The sequence below is a fragment of the Homo sapiens genome, chromosome 9 (genome assembly GCF_000001405.40).
Source record: "Homo sapiens chromosome 9, GRCh38.p14 Primary Assembly".
In the NCBI taxonomy this organism is placed as follows: Eukaryota; Metazoa; Chordata; class Mammalia; order Primates; family Hominidae; genus Homo; species Homo sapiens.
The window spans coordinates 5,433,046-5,450,378 of NC_000009.12; the positions used below are offsets into that span (position 1 = coordinate 5,433,046).

General features: G+C 43.8%; 1 protein-coding gene across 3 annotated transcripts in view, besides 4 other annotated features; it reads right to left on the reverse strand.

Moving 5' to 3' along the window:
* Positions 1–5,332, reverse strand: part of PLGRKT (plasminogen receptor with a C-terminal lysine) — an 80,407-nt gene extending 75,075 nt beyond the window's left edge. Inside the window, exons 1-2 of one of the 3 annotated variants that reach the window (XM_005251510.6) lie at positions 5,168–5,332; positions 3,524–3,649 (exon numbers count right to left, since the gene is read on the reverse strand). The gene's annotated coding sequence lies outside the window, so the exon portion shown is untranslated. Of the gene's footprint in view, positions 1–3,523; positions 3,650–4,586; positions 4,881–5,167 lie in introns of those variants that run through there. The other 2 variants (NM_018465.4, XM_011517960.3) reach the window with 2 other exon arrangements.
* Positions 4,182–5,381: an enhancer, noted in NCBI's record as "P300/CBP strongly-dependent group 1 enhancer chr9:5437227-5438426 (GRCh37/hg19 assembly coordinates)". NCBI's record gives its function as "activates an origin of replication core promoter dependent on BRD2, BRD4, P300/CBP, MED14 and CDK7 cofactors, with strong dependence on P300/CBP, by STARR-seq in HCT116 cells {active_cell/tissue: HCT116}" and the evidence as "EXISTENCE:reporter gene assay evidence [ECO:0000049][PMID:35650434]".
* Positions 4,437–4,526: an enhancer, noted in NCBI's record as "active region_28158". NCBI's record gives its function as "activates an Ori minimal core promoter by ATAC-STARR-seq in GM12878 lymphoblastoid cells {active_cell/tissue: GM12878}" and the evidence as "EXISTENCE:reporter gene assay evidence [ECO:0000049][PMID:35858748]".
* Positions 6,087–6,246: an enhancer, noted in NCBI's record as "active region_28159". NCBI's record gives its function as "activates an Ori minimal core promoter by ATAC-STARR-seq in GM12878 lymphoblastoid cells {active_cell/tissue: GM12878}" and the evidence as "EXISTENCE:reporter gene assay evidence [ECO:0000049][PMID:35858748]".
* Positions 17,274–17,323: an enhancer, noted in NCBI's record as "active region_28160". NCBI's record gives its function as "activates an Ori minimal core promoter by ATAC-STARR-seq in GM12878 lymphoblastoid cells {active_cell/tissue: GM12878}" and the evidence as "EXISTENCE:reporter gene assay evidence [ECO:0000049][PMID:35858748]".

Below are 17,333 nucleotides of genomic sequence, written 5' to 3' on the forward strand. Positions count from 1 at the left end.
GTGAGGAGGGCCTCTGCCCGGCCGCCCCGTCTGGGAGGAAGTGAGGAGCGCCTCTGCCCAGCCACCCCGTCTGGGAAGAAGTGAGGAGCGCTTCTGCCTGGCCGCCCCCTCTGGGAAGTGAGGAGTGCCTCTGCCCGGCCGCCACCCCGTCTAGGAAGTGAGGAGCATCTCTGCCTGGCCGCCCATCGTCTGGGATGTGAGGAGCCCCTCTGCCTGGCCACCCCGTCTAGGAAGTAAGGAGTGTCTCTGCCTGACCGCCCGTTGTCTGGGATGTGAGGAGCATCTCTTCCTGACCGCCCATCGTCTGGGGTGTGAGGAGCATCTCTGCCTGACCGTCCACCGTCTGGGATGTGAGGAGCGCCTCTGCCTGGCTGCCCCATCTGGGAAGTGAGGAGTGCCTCTGCCCGGCCGCCACCCCGTCTAGGAAGCAAGGAGCGACTCTGCCTGACCACCCATCGTCTGGGATGTGAGGAGCGCCTTTGCCCGGCCGCCCCGTCTGGGATGTGAGGAGTGCCTCTGCCCGGCTGCCCCGTCTGGGAAGTGAGGAGCGTCTCTGCCTGAGCGCCCATCGTCTGGGATGTGAGGAGCGCCTTGGCCCGGCCGCCCCGTCTGGGATGTGAGGAGTGCCTCTGCCCGGCTGCCCCGTCTGGGAAGTGAGGAGCGTCTCTGCCTGAGCACCCATCGTCTGGGATGTGAGGAGCGCCTTTGCCCGGCTGCCCCGTCTGGGATGTGAGGAGTGCCTCTGCCTGGCTGCCCCGTCTGGGAAGTGAGGAGCGTCTCTGCCTGAGCGCCCATCATCTGGGATGTGAGGAGCGCCTTTGCCCGGCCGCCCCGTCTGGGATGTGAGGAGCGCCTCTGCCCGGCTGCCCCATCTGGGAATTGAGGAGCACCTCTGCCCGGCCGCCCCGTCTGGGAGGAAGTGAGGAGCGCCTCTGCCCGGCTGCCCCGTCTGGGAGGAAGTGAGGAGCGCCTCTGCCCCGTTGCCCCAAATGGGAAGTGAGGAGCGCCTCTGCCCGGCCGCCCCATCTGGGAAGTGAGGAGTGCCTCTGCCCGGCTGCCACCCTGTCTGGGAGGTCAGGGGCGTCTCTGCCCCGCCGCCACCCCGTCTGGGAAGTGAGGAGCGCCTCTGCCCGGCCGCCACCCCGTCTGGGAGGTGAGGGGTGTCTCTGCCCAGCCATCCCGCCTGGGAAGTGAGGGGCGCCTCTGCCCGGCCGCCCTTCGTCTGGGAGGTGGGGAGCGCCTCTGCCCGGCCGCCCCGTCTGGGAAGTGGGCGCCTCTGCCTGGCCACCCCGTCTGGGAGGTGAGGAGCACCTCTGCCCGGCCGCCCCATTTGGGAGGTGAGGGGCGTCTCTGCCTGGCCGCCACCCCGTCTGGGAAGTGAGGAGCACCTCTGCCCGGCCGCCGCCCCGTCTGGGAGGTGAGGGGTGTCTCTGCCCGGCTGCCCCGCCTGGGAAGTGAGGGGCACCTCTGCCCGGCTGCTCTTTGTCTGGGAGGTGGGGAGCGCCTCTGCCCAGCCGCCCCGTCTGGGAAGTGGGCGCCTCTGCCTGGCCGCCCCCTCTGGGAGGTGGGGAGCGCCTCTGCCTGGCCACCCATCATCTGGGATGTGAGGAGCACCGCTGCCCGGCCGCCACCCCGTCTGGGAAGTGAGGTGTGCCTCTGCCTGGCCGCTCCGTCTGGGAAGTGAGGAGCGCCTCTGCCCGGCCGCCCTGTCTGGGAAGTGAGGTGTGCCTCTGCCTGGCCGCCCCATCTGGGAAGTGTACCCAACAGCTCCGAAGAGACAGCGACCATCGAGAACGGGCCATGATGACGATGGCGGTTTTGTCGAAAAGAAAAGGGGGAAATGTGGGGAAAAGAAAGAGAGATCAGATTGTTACTGTGTCTGTGTAGAAAGAAGTAGACATAGGAGACTCCATTTTGTTCTGTACTAAGAAAAATTCTTCTGCCTTGGGATGCTGTTAATCTATAACCTTACCCCCAACCCCCTGCTCTCTGAAACATGTGCTGTGTCAACTCAGGGTTAAATGGATTAAGGGTGGTGCAAGATGTGCTTTGTTAAACAGATGCTTGAAGACAGCATGCTCGTTAAGAGTCACCACCACTCCCTAATCTCAAGTACCCAGGGACACAAACAGGGCCAAAGGCCGCAGGGACCTCTGCCTAGGAAAACCAGAGACCTTTGTTCTTGTGTTTATCTGCTGACCTTCTCTCCACTATTATCCTATGACCCTGCCACATCCCCCTCTCTAAGAAACACCCAAGAATGATCAATAAATACTAAAAAAAAAAAAAAAAAGAAGAAGATTGAGCTGTCTCAAGGTCAGTAGACCAGTTATTCTTCCTGTCATCCCACCACAATCCCTGTCCCTCTCCTACATGCCCCTTATTTCCATCCACCCACTGCTAACTGCCTTAGCCATCCTCCTCCAGCTTCACTCTCATTCTCTCCAAGATAGCATGTACTAAAGTTCTCAAAAATGGAAAAACATACAGATACTTGAATGTCCTGGAAAATGTACTTTTTAGATGAATGCACAGTAGTGTCTATCTTATGTAAGTTTTTAAGTGGGCTGTCAACTCTACAAGGGACAGAACTCCAATTTTTATTCTTAATCCAACTGGGTGGGTACAGAAGACCTTGAGTTAGTTGGTTGCATTTCAGAATACTGCAAAACTCAGGGGAAAGTTACAACTGCTCTACCCTTCTCAACAATGTTGCTGATACCTTTTCTCTTTAATAGGCTGTTGAGTAGGGTTGTGAACCTCAGGTAAGAATGGCCAGTCTTAATTCATTACAGCCAGGATTCCCAAGTATTCTGTGGGAAGCCCAGCTAATGGGGTTCCAGGTGAGTGGGAGCTGCAAGCAAGACTTCAGTGACTTCCTTGTATTCTGATCAAGGATACACCTGGAGTTTCAGGGCTCTGTGCCAGAGTCAGCTTCAAAGCTGAGCACAGGATACCAAACCACTTACCAGGATGAAGAGGCACAATGCTGAAAAGGCCTGAGGTGGTGAGATTTCCCTCCCCTTCTGCCACTGTGCCACTCGAGCACCCTGTGACCAGAGTTAGAGGCCACTCACTGACAGCAGGGTGATTTGGCAGTTCTTTCCTTTCTCCAAACCCTAACAGTCCCATGCGACTCATCTCTAACAGCAGACCAGAACCTGCCTGAGGTTAGGAGCGAGATATTATCCATCTTGATAGTCTCCATGGTGTCTACTTCCCCTAAATATTTGCACAAAGCATGAGAGATACAAGAAAAACTGTGGCTCAGGCCACTTGCCATTACTTATTTTTCTTCTGAACATAGGAGTGGATGACTAAATTTTTACACCTGCTGCAAACATTTATAAAGAAAACAACTGTACTCTAGTACTATTCCTCCACATACCCTGTATATCACAGAGCTGTGTGCTTTCAAGTGCTCCTGTTTGTAAGGGGTTAGGATCTCCCCTGAAAAGAGAGAGTCCTCATGTCAATCATCTGGGAAAGAAACACTGTCTGGGAAGTTAGTATTTAGATTTACCTCTTTCTGGGCCTTGCTCTCCTGGGTCTGGACTTGTAGTCTGAATGTGTTAGAGGACGCTCCCAGGTGGAAGGGTTAAAGGTGGAAGCCAAGCAGGAAGAAGAGCTTCCTTATGGGAAACCACACCTGAGAATAAATAAATGCATCACACCTTGTAAATTTCACCCTGGAGTTCAGTATTTTCAACATTCTTTCCTTTCCCAACTTCCCCATTCCTGGCAAAGTCATTTCCCAAAGTCTGGGAATATTCCGTAGGGTGTCCAGAACACTTTCAGCTATCTCCTCTTGCTCACAAAATATGTATCAGAAAATAAGCAAAATTGACCTTGCAATAGGGATAACTTTGATTTCACTCACTTGTATAAGTTAAGTCTTTTAAAAATTCTAACACTTTTCACCAGGGGTAAAAAAAAATGTCTTGCTACTTATACAATTTTAAACATCACTGTGTCTCAGAGTGATGTTTTGCAGAGAATGCTGATTTCAATCCCTCTGTCTTCATTTTCCCTTTGATTCCTTCTGAGATCTTGGAAGGGGTCTTTAATGCTTCAGCCCTGCCTCAGGTGAGCTATAGATTACTATGGGAAGGTGTATTTCTGGGGAGGAGAAGTGGTGCCTGCAAGTTCCAGACAACCTTTCTTCCGGTCACCCGTGAGTACCTAGATTTGATTTTACTTGGGGGGACATAAAAAATTAATTGCATGAATTCTGTCATCGGGATTACCACGCTGACTTATTTCCCGATCAGATGACACATTGCCTGAATGTATGACTGATCGTCTCACCACAGTCATTTTCAATATTTGCATCCCATTGAAATTAAGCCACATCCCCTTGCAAATTCCAGCCCAGAGCCCACAGCTTCCGGAGGTTTTCTGTAATTAACACCGCCCTTGCTCCCTGAGGCCAGTTACTGTAATTTAGGTATTCCCCGCAATAGTGTGCTGATTTCTGTTGAGAGCACTGTGCCTGTTTTTCTCAACTCTATTTTAAAGCTACGGAGAGATCCGGAGTCCACGCCAGGCGACAAGAACGCGCTCTAATGGAACGAAGTTGGCAATACCTATCAGCACCAGGGGCAGTGCGAGAGCCAAGAGCCGGCGCTCACGAGGAGCGGGCGCCCAGCGCTGCCTGGCAAGCCCGGAGCCCAGGAGATCGCGCTGACTGACATGGCCGGGCTGACCCTTCTCCCCACCCGCCTGCGGCCGGTGTTCACTCACTGGGCGGCGCTGGTGCCGGGACCAGGCGACCGGTACGCAAACCTCCAGGCCCGGGCTCCTTTCGCCCGCTGCAGGGACCGGGCCTCGCTCCGCCCAGCGTCGGGATTGGCGCCCAGACACAGTAGATGACGCACCTCAGCCAATTCGCGCAGCCCTCAGCTTCTTTAAAGAGCCGGCACTTCCGCCAGAAGCCGGGTGTGTCCTTCCGGGCCAGGCTCAGTGTTACCAGAGGTGGGAGGGGAAGGTCAAAAGAGGCAAATTCAAAGCCGCGGCGACTCAGCTGCCAGATTTTTGAGATGAGGCAGAGGAAGCGGAGTGGAATTCTCAATTAAAGGCCTCTGTCCCCTCATCTGTTAAATTGGCACTATTAAAAAGTCATAAAGATAAGACAGAAACGAGAAAGAAGAGAATTGACTGAAATTACCCATTCTTTTTTGAACAGAGCCGTCTTTCTCCCCTGCTGCTCAGAGAGATGTCGGTCTCGCCTCAACCTCACCAGCAATTTCTATCTTGAATAAGCCACGTCTCTCTCCCAGCCTGAGAGAATGCTTGAATTGTTGGCACTCTGTTCTTTGCTACCAAATGGCTTGGAAAAATAGCATGAACGTCACCAGTCTCTGGCCTTCAGGAAAGTCCCTGCTAACCACCACAGCGGTGGAGAAGGCGTCTAACTTTCTCCAGGCTCAGCGTGTGAGTGCACACCGCCCTGACCTCCTGGGCGCGTCTTGATGCTCTCAACAGCAGCCCTCAGGATTCTGGACTGTGGGTCCCACATTCCAGATACCATTTGTGGAATGGCTGGATGAGAAAATTGCAACAGCACCCTCATTTCCAGTTAAGGGAATGGGCGGGTTACCAGGAGGTTTGACACTCTTGAAGGGAGGTTAACAACTGATGCAAGAAGTAAGGAATCGTGTTTGAGTGCACAGACTCTAGCATAAACACACCTACCTTCAATTTCTAGCTCTGTCACTGTCACTCTGAATTTATCACCTCTGCAACAGGACTAAAGCCATCTAATTTATTGGATTGTGAGGACTAAAAGATAATATATGTGGGCATTTAGCACAGTGTCGGGCACATAGTTCGCCTTCCGTAACCAGTAGTAACCAGTAACAGCGGGGAGCTGTTAGTAACTATAGGGCTGAGGGGTGGGGGAAGGAAGCAGTTACTAAAACCAGGCGAGAGCGAGAGCGGTAGCTGTGGCTGTACGAGAGAGTAACCAACTGGAACCGTGTCGTTCAGTAGAGGAAAGCAAGCAATGCCAACTTTTCACCAAGTAAGGTGAGATTCTATAGTTGTAGCCAGTGCTGAGACGTCAGCCCAAAGCAGGGACAGAGTGGAGAAGACCCACCTCTCTGTTCTCCCAGCTCTGATATCCAGCTGGGGTCTTCCGCTGGCTGGATCCACCAGGAAGCCAGAAGACAGTGGAGCTAGGTCTGTGTAGTCTGTAGAGGTCAGCCTACTAGGCACAATGCCTGGAGGGAGAAATAGAAAATATCCAGCACACCATTTCTTTTTTTTGTTTGTTTTTACACTTTAAGCTCTAGGGTACATGTGCACAACGTGCAGGTTTGTTACCTATGTATACATGTGCCGTGTTGGTGTGTTGCACCCATTAAGTTGTCATTTACATTAGGTGTATCTCCTAATGCTATCCCTCCCCCCTCCCCCCACCCCACAACAGGCCCCGGTGTGTGATGTCCCCCTTCCTGTGTCCAAGTGTTCTCATTGTTCAATTCCCACCTATGAGTGAGAACATGCGGTGTTTGGTTTTTTGTCCTTGCGATAGTTTGCTGAGAATGATGGTTTCCAGCTTCATCCACGTCCCTACAAAGGACATGAACTCATCATTTTTTATGGCTGCATAGTATTCCAGCACACCATTTCTACAACCTTGGGTTTATTGTGTTTGGAAGCCTAGATCCAAAGGAAGGAATGCTGCCACTAGAAGACCCCGTCACTGAATTGAATTGAATTTCAATTCATTGATTCGAAAGCTGAAACTGCCCTCTGGTCACTTTGATTCCTCACAGTGACAGAATGGTATGATTCATCCCAAATACCAAAAGGAAATTGGGTTACATCTATATATTGAGGGCAAGAAGAACTATGCATGACACCTGGAGATTCACTGGGCACTTCTTAATACTGCCGTGTGCCATAATAATGATTATCAGATAACTGAAGTAATGCAGAAATTTCAGATCATGAAGAAATTAAAGTGTTGAAGCATACCAGATAAAAAAATCCTGATCTACCTAGGTGTTGGCATAGGGCAGGGGAAACATACATAAGTAAATGAGTAGGAAGCTATGATTATTAATTTTAGCCTTGCAACAAGCTCTAGAGGCAGGAATTATAGTAGCTCTCCATTTAAAATGTTAATTACTTCTTCCCTGACTCTCTTTTCCTATTACCCTGCATAAAGAGTAGTGGTGGAGATAAATATTACAATTTAGTTTCTGGGTGAGAATGTGCCTGAACTGACATCCCCTCAAGGCAATATGGCAGCTGATGAGGCTTGTTAAGGAAAATCAAAGCTGGACAATAGCTGTAGCAGTAAAAATAGATTTTTATTCAGCAACTTTTGAAATAGGGGGAAAGAGACCTTGGTAAAGAACTGGGCTCAATTCTGAATACAGTAAGGATAAGTGGGGATTTATAGCCGAGGAGCAGGTTGTGTGGATGGGGGTGGGGTCCGTGGATGGAAAATTACTAAGAAGAGACAGCAAGGGTAGGGGAAATCCTTGCTAAACTGACCTAACAGGATTCTTGCTAAAGGTAGGCCAGGGTAAGCAGACATCACCTGGGGGCTGGTGGGGGTAAGGAATTTGATCAGATATTGAGAGTGGTCAAACATTCAGGGTGGGAAGATCCTCTCTAAACTGACTTAGCAGGATTCTTGCCAACACTGATTCTGCAAGGATGAACACTGCAGCCCAAGGTCAATATCTAATCAAGGAGATGGCTTAGAGGAGCCTGACTAAAGTTTGGTCGAGGAGAAATCTTGTCAGACTCTGTCATTCTCATATGTAAGGGATGAGCTGCTCTTCATCTGAGCAAAGGAAAAGAATAAATTCTGGGTGACAAAACAATTAGACTGTCTAGGTTTTCTGTTTGCCTTCCATCATATTCATTCTCCTCACTTCCCTGCCCTGTTCTATACCCCAAAGCTGACCTCTTTGGACGGCACCACCTGGGCTCTCCTCAGCTGGTTTCCATTTGAGTTTGGACAGCGGGAGGCATTCAGGGAGATGGGAGGCAGGAGGAAAAAGACATCAGGGTATATTTTCTCTGTTCTTTCTCTGTTTGGGGCTGAGTATCTGGTGGTGGTTGTGTTTCTCCACAATTGCAGCTCTTGGCAAGCAGTCCCTTCTCCATGGCTCCAGCTCCATGGGCTCTGGAAACACTTTTCTCCTTTGCTATGTAGCCTAGAGAGAGCGCAGTCTTCCTGCTGTTGCTAGACTCTGGATGACTCAACTGGATGGTTCTCTTAGTCATACTCCTTTAAGTAGTGTCTTCACTAATATCTCTTTAATCAAACCAACTGAGTAAAATTCTGATTCCTGATGGATACATGTTAAACCGAAAACACACATTATAAATTTTCTTGTATGTATGATGTTTTTCATAATTTTAAAACATAAGTGAAAAAAGTGACCATAGAAAAATATGCCCAGGAAATTGAAAAAAAAAGTCTTGGTATAGATATTGGACACATTTTATAAAATGTGGAGTAAGAGGGTTAAAGGAAATTTATTTCAGAATCAAATGGCATATAACTTTAACTGGTATGTGAATTATTTTCAGTTGTATGAATTTGTGAATATATATGTGTACATTTTTATGCATATATATAAATATGTGTTTTATATCATCTTGCATTATAACATAAGGATTTTTATGTTGCTACATTGCATTTATATTTACCATTTTTAACAGCTAAAGGATTTTCAATAAGTGTGTATGTAACAACTTCCATTGCTGGATATTTCTCAGTATATATATGTATATATACATATGTGTGTATACATATATATATACATATGTGTATATATACATATGTATGTATATGTATATGTACGTATGTATGTGTATATATACATACATGTGTGTATACGCATATATACATATGTGTATATATACACGTATATACATGTGTGTATATATACACGTATATACGTGTGTATATACACACGTATATACATGTGTGTATATACATGTGTGTATATACACACGTATATACGTGTGTATATACACACGTATATACATGTGTGTATATACACACGTATATACATGTGTGTATATATACGTGTGTATATATATAAACACATATATATATGCACATGCATATGTATACACTGAGTTAAGTAGTATAAATATTTTAGAGAAAATTGATGTAAAATCCTCAACTCATTTGATGCTCCCTATCCCAGGACAGTAAAAATTGCCCAATATTTCCTTGGACCTCCATAAAGAAGCAGTTTTTCAAAAAATAAAGTGTTTGGAAGTTTAAGATGTGCCTAGCAGTGTCTCCTTTTAACAGAGATGCTTTCACAAGGATTTGAATTTCCCCATTGAGCTGGGAACCAGGTTTAGCCAAGAACTTCGGTCTGTGAAGGACTGCAAATAGTTGCACAGTGTGGGGCTGAGGCTAGAACCTCCTTAATATTAAACCATTCTGGGATGGTGCTCCCCAAATTCTGGATTTTAACCTTCACTCCAATCCTGGGGCACCTCTGTAGCTTGGGCATGACCTGGACACAAGCTTTGTGTAAGCCTTCTTTGGACTTCATCCATTCCTCAACGGTGACACCATGTGGCAGTGTAATATAATGGCATCAGTGGACTCAGATCCTGTTCTCTCCCTACCTAGAGATTTTTAAGATTAAGATATGTAATTCACAACCATAAAATGTACCACCTTAAATTGTACAATTTATTGGTTTTTCATACATTCAAAAAGTTGTACAACCACCACCATTATCTAATTCCATAACATTTTCTTCACCCTAGAAAGAAACCTCATACCTATTAGCAGCCACTCCCCAAACTCCCCATTCTCCCCATTCCCCCAGTTTCTGGGGACCCCTAACCTACTTTTTGTTTTTATAGATTTGCCTATTCTGGACATTTTATATAAATGGAAGCCTACAATCTATGGCCTTTTGTGTCTGGCTCCTTTTACTTAGTATGATCAAGGTTCATCCAAGTTGTAGCATGTACCAGTACTTCATTTCTTTTTATGTCTGATTAATGTTCCAATGTATGGATATACCACATTTTGTTTATCCATTCAAAATTGTGGGGCATTTGGATTGTTCCCATTTTTTTTGCTGTCATAAATAATGCTGCTAAGTTTTTGTATGAACGTATGTTTTCAATTCTCTTGGGTATATATGTAAAAGCAGAATTGCTGGGTCATATGGTAACTCTGCATTTAACTTTTTGGAGTTGAACAAATACACCATGCCAGCAGTGAATAAGGATGCTGATTTCACTATACCTTTGCACAATAGTTAAGAGCATAAACACTGGAACCAGATGTCTGGGTTCGAATCCCAGCTGTGCTATCTCCTAGCTGTGTCGTTTAGACAAGTTACTAAAGCTCTGTGCCTCAGTGTCCACATCTCTAAAATAGAGGCAATAATAGTACCTTCCTTACAGGATTGTTGTAAGATTTAAATGAGCTAATATGTGTAAATCACAAAAATAGGGTCTGACATTTTTTAAATGGTATATGTTTTACCATTGCTGCTATTTTAATCTTTATTATAATTATTGTGTTTTGTTTTGTTAATTTGATAGCTTTAAAAGGTAATGATACAGTTTATTGATGTTTGTTATGAAAAGGAGTAATTGGAGAAGATAAAAATGTAAGGGGTAATAAAGTCAAGGAAGGTTTTTTGAGCTGAAAATGATTATATTTCAGAGTGTAACCTGAATAAAACTGAGGCTTCACATGGCTCAGTCCATGCATGTAATAGCATTCTAAGAAAACATAAACTGAATGAAAACGTAAACTGTGAAGCATGAAGAATAATGAGGGTCTTCACCTTATGCTTTCTGAAGGAGTCCCCGCAAATGCTTCACACAGCATATTGAACAAGAAACTCCTAAAATCTTCTCTAGATATTTCTCTCTTTCCTATTTTTTCCCACTGACAGTAGCACCTTATATCTATCCTCCTCAACTGCGAGGTCACTACAGCACTATACTAAGCCCCTGTTAACTTCCTTCTCTTGAAACCCATGCAACTCACATGATCCTATTCTCAGCCTGTGAATCTCAGCCTCCTGCAATCCTGTGAAATTCAACTTGGTCTCCTACTCTGAATGTGTATAAAAATAACAGAGAACAGTTCCTGAACTCTGATGAGTAAAATGATCTACCTTATTACATGTGGTATTATAATAAATAAATATACATTAATTTCTTTCCCCATTTTCCAGCACACAGCTCCTAAAAGACTTGTAACTTCCTGAGTGATAGGTATGCTAGGTAAATTTTTTGTTCTATGTGACCTTCGACTCCAGTTCTTGACACAGAGCTCCTGATCCCTTGGAATTTCCATAGTGATAGGAGCATCTTTCATTCTCCTGAAGTAACTTGGTGGGCTTCTGGATGGGAGCTGGTCACAAGAATGACCAAGCCATGATTAGAAGCTTGGAACTTTCACCTCCTACCTCATCCTGTGAAAAGGGGAGAGGGGCTGAAGATTGAGGTAACAATTGCTGATGTGTACATGATGAAGTCCCCATAAAAATCCCTAAATGAGGGGATTTGGAGAGGTTCTGGAGGTGCTGAACGTGGAGGTGCTTGGAGGGTGGCCTATCCAGTTCATCTCCAGAGTTCACACACTCACCTAAGTGCTGATGCCCACCTGATGGCATTTCTCAGCCTCCGAGGCTTTCCTTCTTTGTACTTAGTCAAAAGAATGCTCTAATCCAGTCTATCATTGATGGGCATTTGGGTTGGTTCCAAGTCTTTGCTATTGTGAATAGTGCCGCAACAAACATACGTGTGCATGTGTCTTTATAGTAGCATGATTTATAATCCTTTGGGTATATACCCAGTAATGAGATCGCTGGGTCAAATGGTATTTCTAGTTCTAGATCCTTGAGGAATTACCACACTGTCTTCCACAATGCTTGAACTAGTTTACAGTCCCACCAACAGTGTAAAAGTGTTCCTATTTCTCCACATCCTCTCCAGCACCTGTTGTTTCCTGACTTTTTAATGATCGCCATTCTAACTGGTGTGAGATGGTATCTCATTGTGGTTTTGATTTGCATTTGTCTGATGGCCAGTGATGATGAGCATTTTTTCATGTGTCTGTTGGCTACATAAATGTCCTCTTTTGAGAAATGTCTGTTCATATCCTTCGCCCACTTTGTGATGGGATTGTTTTTCTCTTGTAAATTTGTTTGAGTTCTTTGTAGATTCTGGATATTAGCCCTTTGTCAGATGAGTAGATAGATTAAGGAAATATGGCACATATACACCATGGAATACTATGCAGCCATAAAAAAGGATGAGTTCATGTTCTTTGTAAGGACATGGATGAAGCTGGAAACCATCATTCTCAGCAAACTATTGCAAAAACAAAAAACCAAACACCGCGTGTTCTCACTCATAGGTGGGAATTGAATAATGAGAACACTTGGACACATGGTGGGGAACATCACACACTGGAACCTGTCGTGGGGTTGGGGGAGGGGGGAGGGAAAGCATTAGGAGATATACCTAATGTAAATGACGAGTTAATGGGTGCAGCACACCAACATGGCACATGTATACATATGTAACAAACCTGTACGTTGTGCACATGCACCCTAGAACTTAAAGTATAATAAAAAAAAAGAATTCTCTAATCCATGGAATAAGTGTTGAATAATGAAATTCTGATATTGTGTTTAATGATATACTGCACTATTCAGAATATTTGTACTTACCTTCGAGTCTCTCTTCTAAAAGATGCCAAACCCCCTTACACGAAGTAGAAAACGTCAAATATCTAAATATTGTATCTTAATAATGTTCAAACATTAAATGTTTCAAATATTCCAATGTTTAGAATCATAAAAAAAAAACATAAGAATTGTTTTAAAAAAATGCTCTAAACTTAACCCACAGCCCTTCTTGTGAATTTCTCCAAAATAACTGGAGCCTGGTTAATAGCAAGCCTCAGGAGCATGGCTTTGAAATACTGTCAACATACTGCCACCAATTTCTCCATTTCCAGAAAAGACTGTAATTTTTTCTTTAGAAATCATGATTTTCTTGATTGGTTTAGACTGGTTTCCAGTAGTTCACTTACCAGGAAAGTTTCTGTTTTGTTTTTAGACTTCCTTAATTTAGAGAATGCACATAATATTGAAACTGGCTATAGTATCCTACTCTGGAAAAGCATATTAAATACATACAAATATATATTTAATGTATATAAATACAAATATATATGTAATGTATATAAATATATACAAATATATGTGTGTGTGAGTATGTATCTTCCTTGATTTCCTTTTATCCATTACCACTAATATCCCTCAATAAGTCCTACTGGTTCTACTTCCAAATTATATTTTGAACATGCTCTACAGAAACAGCTCCTAAAGATTTTCCAGCCTCCATGAATGTAAGTCCCCTCCATATTCCATTCTTCGTACCACAGCTAGAGTGGTATTTTTAGAACATTCATCAGGCAACTACCCTGCTCTAAGCCATCTGGTGGCTTTTCATTGCAAGTAGAATGCAACCTCTCCCCTAGTCCTCAAGGCTCTTCATGATATGATTTGACCCTCCCATCCCTCTTCCTCACTCTCTACCCACAATTCTCTTCTTTTCATCCTTGGAACTTGCCAAGCTTGTTCCACCCGTATAGTCTTTGTACCTGTCTCTTCCCATGGCCAAATATGCTCTTTTGGCAGATCTTTCCATGGTTATCTTCATGATTCATTTCTCAGATATCACCTCTTACACATTTCCTGACCACCATAACTAAAGGAACCTCACACCTGTGCACTATACCATATTGCTCTGACTTGTCTTCTTTTTTCTTGTATAGGACTTTTCGGTATCTGAAATTTTTATTTATTAATTTCTGTTTGGAACATATCTCTCTCAGAGCAGAAAGGTCTTGCTGTCCTTTCAAGGAAATGGTGGGGAAAAGAAAAATTCTCATTCTTTTATGATGAGCCTACAAAAATAAATGGGTTAAATGGGTTCTTGATCCAGTTCACCTTAAGTGTGGTTACCAAAGGAAATGATTCACAAGGTGACTATTTCATTTGTGTGACACTCACTTATGTTATTAGTTCTAGGATATTAAATCAAGAAATATTTTCTAGGATCCCCTGAAAGAGTATCTCTCAATTGTAAACTTTATCTTTAGTGGCATTTTGTTGATTTATTGAGATTCCCTAGATTTAAAATATTTACCACAGAGTGTTCCCCAACTCCCACAGCATTTATCCAGGCCATAACTACTTATGTCTGGATTTATGAACTTATTGTGGGTGGGGGAAATTGTTGGAGGTCTCATCTTTGTTTTAAAGTACCTGTGGCATGGGGTCTGCCCTTTGAAGGCAAGAGCTCTTCACCTGCCCAGCTCTTCCCCAGCTTAGGACAGGAAGGAGAGAGACACAGTGTGAGCGAGAGAAGCATCTGATTGTGAGTGTCAGATGAGGACAGCTGCTACTCTCTGGTCACCCATACATGTTAATTACCCCTGTCATTTAAACCATTGTTTTGTGTAACTAGAACAAAGTATTCTTTCCACGAAGTCTGTTTGACACGAGACACATATAGGATGTGAGTCTATGACAAGGGTAGGGGCAACAAATGTGAGGGGTTGGATGGAAACAGAGGAAGAGAAATGAGCATTGCATAGGGCAGTGGTTTAAAACCCTACATGATCAAAAATAGAACCTGGAGACAAATCTTGATATTGTCTTTATACATAATAAAATGCATTTTAAAATATTCGATGCAAACAAAGCAGTTTGTCATGTCTTTTGTTTTGAGTCTCTTTAGTATATGCTGCTTTTGAAGATCAAGAACATTTACTGGAAATTGCTCCTTCACCAGGAATTTGCTCACATCTCTTCAGGTCCACTTATAAGATCTTGAAATCAGTCCTCCTGAGATCAGTACAAACGAGGATCATCTCTCCTGCTTTAGAAGCAAAAGTGGCAAGCAGGGTAGACAGAGGCAGAAGGAAGGATGGTACTGATAAATCAGCCAAATTAGATGGAAGAAAGCGAATTACAGCTGTACTTGCAAAGAACTCTTGGCTCATTTTTTCCCTTAAATATTAAATCACTAGTTTTCAAAACTTCAAATGTGAACATGACTCACCTGAGGACAATGTTAAAATGTTGACCTCCAAGACCCTGCCCCCAAGTTTGGATCCCAGGCAGAACCCTGGAATCTGTATTTTAAACATTAACCCCAAGTCGAGTGTAATGCAAGTAACCATCAGAGACACTCTGAGAAACAGCACATTGGCAATGATGAATTTATATGTCTAAAAATGAATAGAGTAGATGTTACATGAATAGGAAGTGGTGGTATTCAAGATGACCATAGTATCTAGCTCTTCAGCCCTGGCTCCCCACTGCTCTTCTCCCATCTCAGCACTTCTCCATCTATTTCGTCCAAATAAAAAAATTCACACAGAGTTTCAGGACTTAACCCCCCACTCATTAACCATCTGTTTTGCTTTACATATTTTTCTGAGGTAATAAAATTTCTCTTTTTCTAAACACAGCCTGTTTTTCAATCTCCGGGTAGTTGATCAATTGTATGGGAAAATGAATGGCTGAAGGGTAGAAACAGGTGGGAAAGATGAACAAAAACACGAATCCTCACATTACTAATACGCAAATCACTGAGCAGCAAGCTGAGCAAATACCCTCAATTCCCATCAGCAACTTTAGAGAAAGGCAAATTCCGTTTGCCTCATTGATCATTTAGGTAGACCCTGAACACTGCTTTCATAAAACAAAAACAAAATACCCATCCCCAGTTTAAAAAATTATTCATAGATCATCCAGGCCATCTAGGAGGATATGATTTAATCCTGGCTACTTGGTAAATTATTTGCCCAAGTTAACTCAGCTAGTTAGTGGTAGATGGCTCTGAAGCCAGTTGTTTTTTTTTGTTTTGTTTTTTGCAGACCTCAAGAGTCATGATGAACTAGCAGATCATAAAGTTTATGCCCTGGGTCTTGACCATTTTTAGAAAAATAAAACATTAAATGAAAATATCAGAGGGCATTGCAGATAGTAGATCTAAGTATTTTTTCATGAAACTTGTTGTACATGTGTGTGTCATACACAGACTATATATATGCAGTACCTGTAAACTGTATTGCCACATAATGTCTATATTTTCCTAGAGGTCACAGTCACCAAAGTTGGGAAGTCACCCAACTTCGGGAACTTTGGGAAGTCACCCAAACTTACAGTCACCAAAATTGCTCTATTCTACTATGTGACCTCAAAAGTGATTTGAAAGAAGGAACATCTGAGCTGGGCCCAAACCCTATTGCAATTTTATTGGGGCCAAAGAGAACTCCATGCTCCTGCCAAATCAAGGCAGTGTCAGCCTCAATAATTTCCCAGATAAAAATAAAAATCTGTGATACAATCAGAATGTGAAAATTCTTATTTTGGAAGCAAATGTCATAACCAATGCAAGGGCTATCTCAATATTCATTCATTATGCAGTATTTTGAACTGCAGTTGAAATGAATAAGAAGGAAAGGCAAACAACGAAGAGTCCAATTTCTCAATTTAGAAAAAGAGAAAAAAAAGAAAAGGGAGCACACAGGCACGGTGGCTCAAGCCTGTAATATCAGCACTTTGGCGGATCACTTGAGGTCAAGGAGTTCGAGAAAAGAGAGCACCTAGAAGTTCAGCGCGGGATAATACTTAAGTAAATTATGACACCATCGTCTGTCATCTTGGGCCCATTCACTAACCCAAAGCTTTCAAAAGGGCTTTCTTAACCCTCACCTAGAATAGGCTTCCGCAGCCTTAATCCTTAGGGTGGCAGAATATCAGGGACCCTGAGCATTCTTAAAAGATGTAGCTCGGGATGGGAAGTTCTTTTAATGACAAAGCAAATGAAGTTTCATTATGTCGAGGAACTTTGAGGAAGTCACAGAATCCACGATTTAAAAATATATTTCCTATTATACACCCATACACACACACACACACCTACTTTCTAGAATAAAAACCAAAGCCATATGGGTCTGCTGCTGACTTTTTATATGTTGTAGAGTTATATCAAGTTATGTCAAGATGTTCAGTCACCTTGAAGAGGCTTTTATCAGAAAGGGGGACGCCTTTCTGATAAAGGTTAAGGGGTAACCTTAAGCTCTTACCCCTCTGAAGGTAAAATCAAGGTGCGTTCAGATGTTGGCTTGTTGTAAATTTCTTTTTTTATTAATAACATACTAAATGTGGATTTGCTTTAATCTTCGAAACTCTTCCCGGTGAAAATCTCATTTACAAGAAAACTGGACTGACATGTTTCACTTTCTGTTTCATTTCTATACACAGCTTTATTCCTAGGAC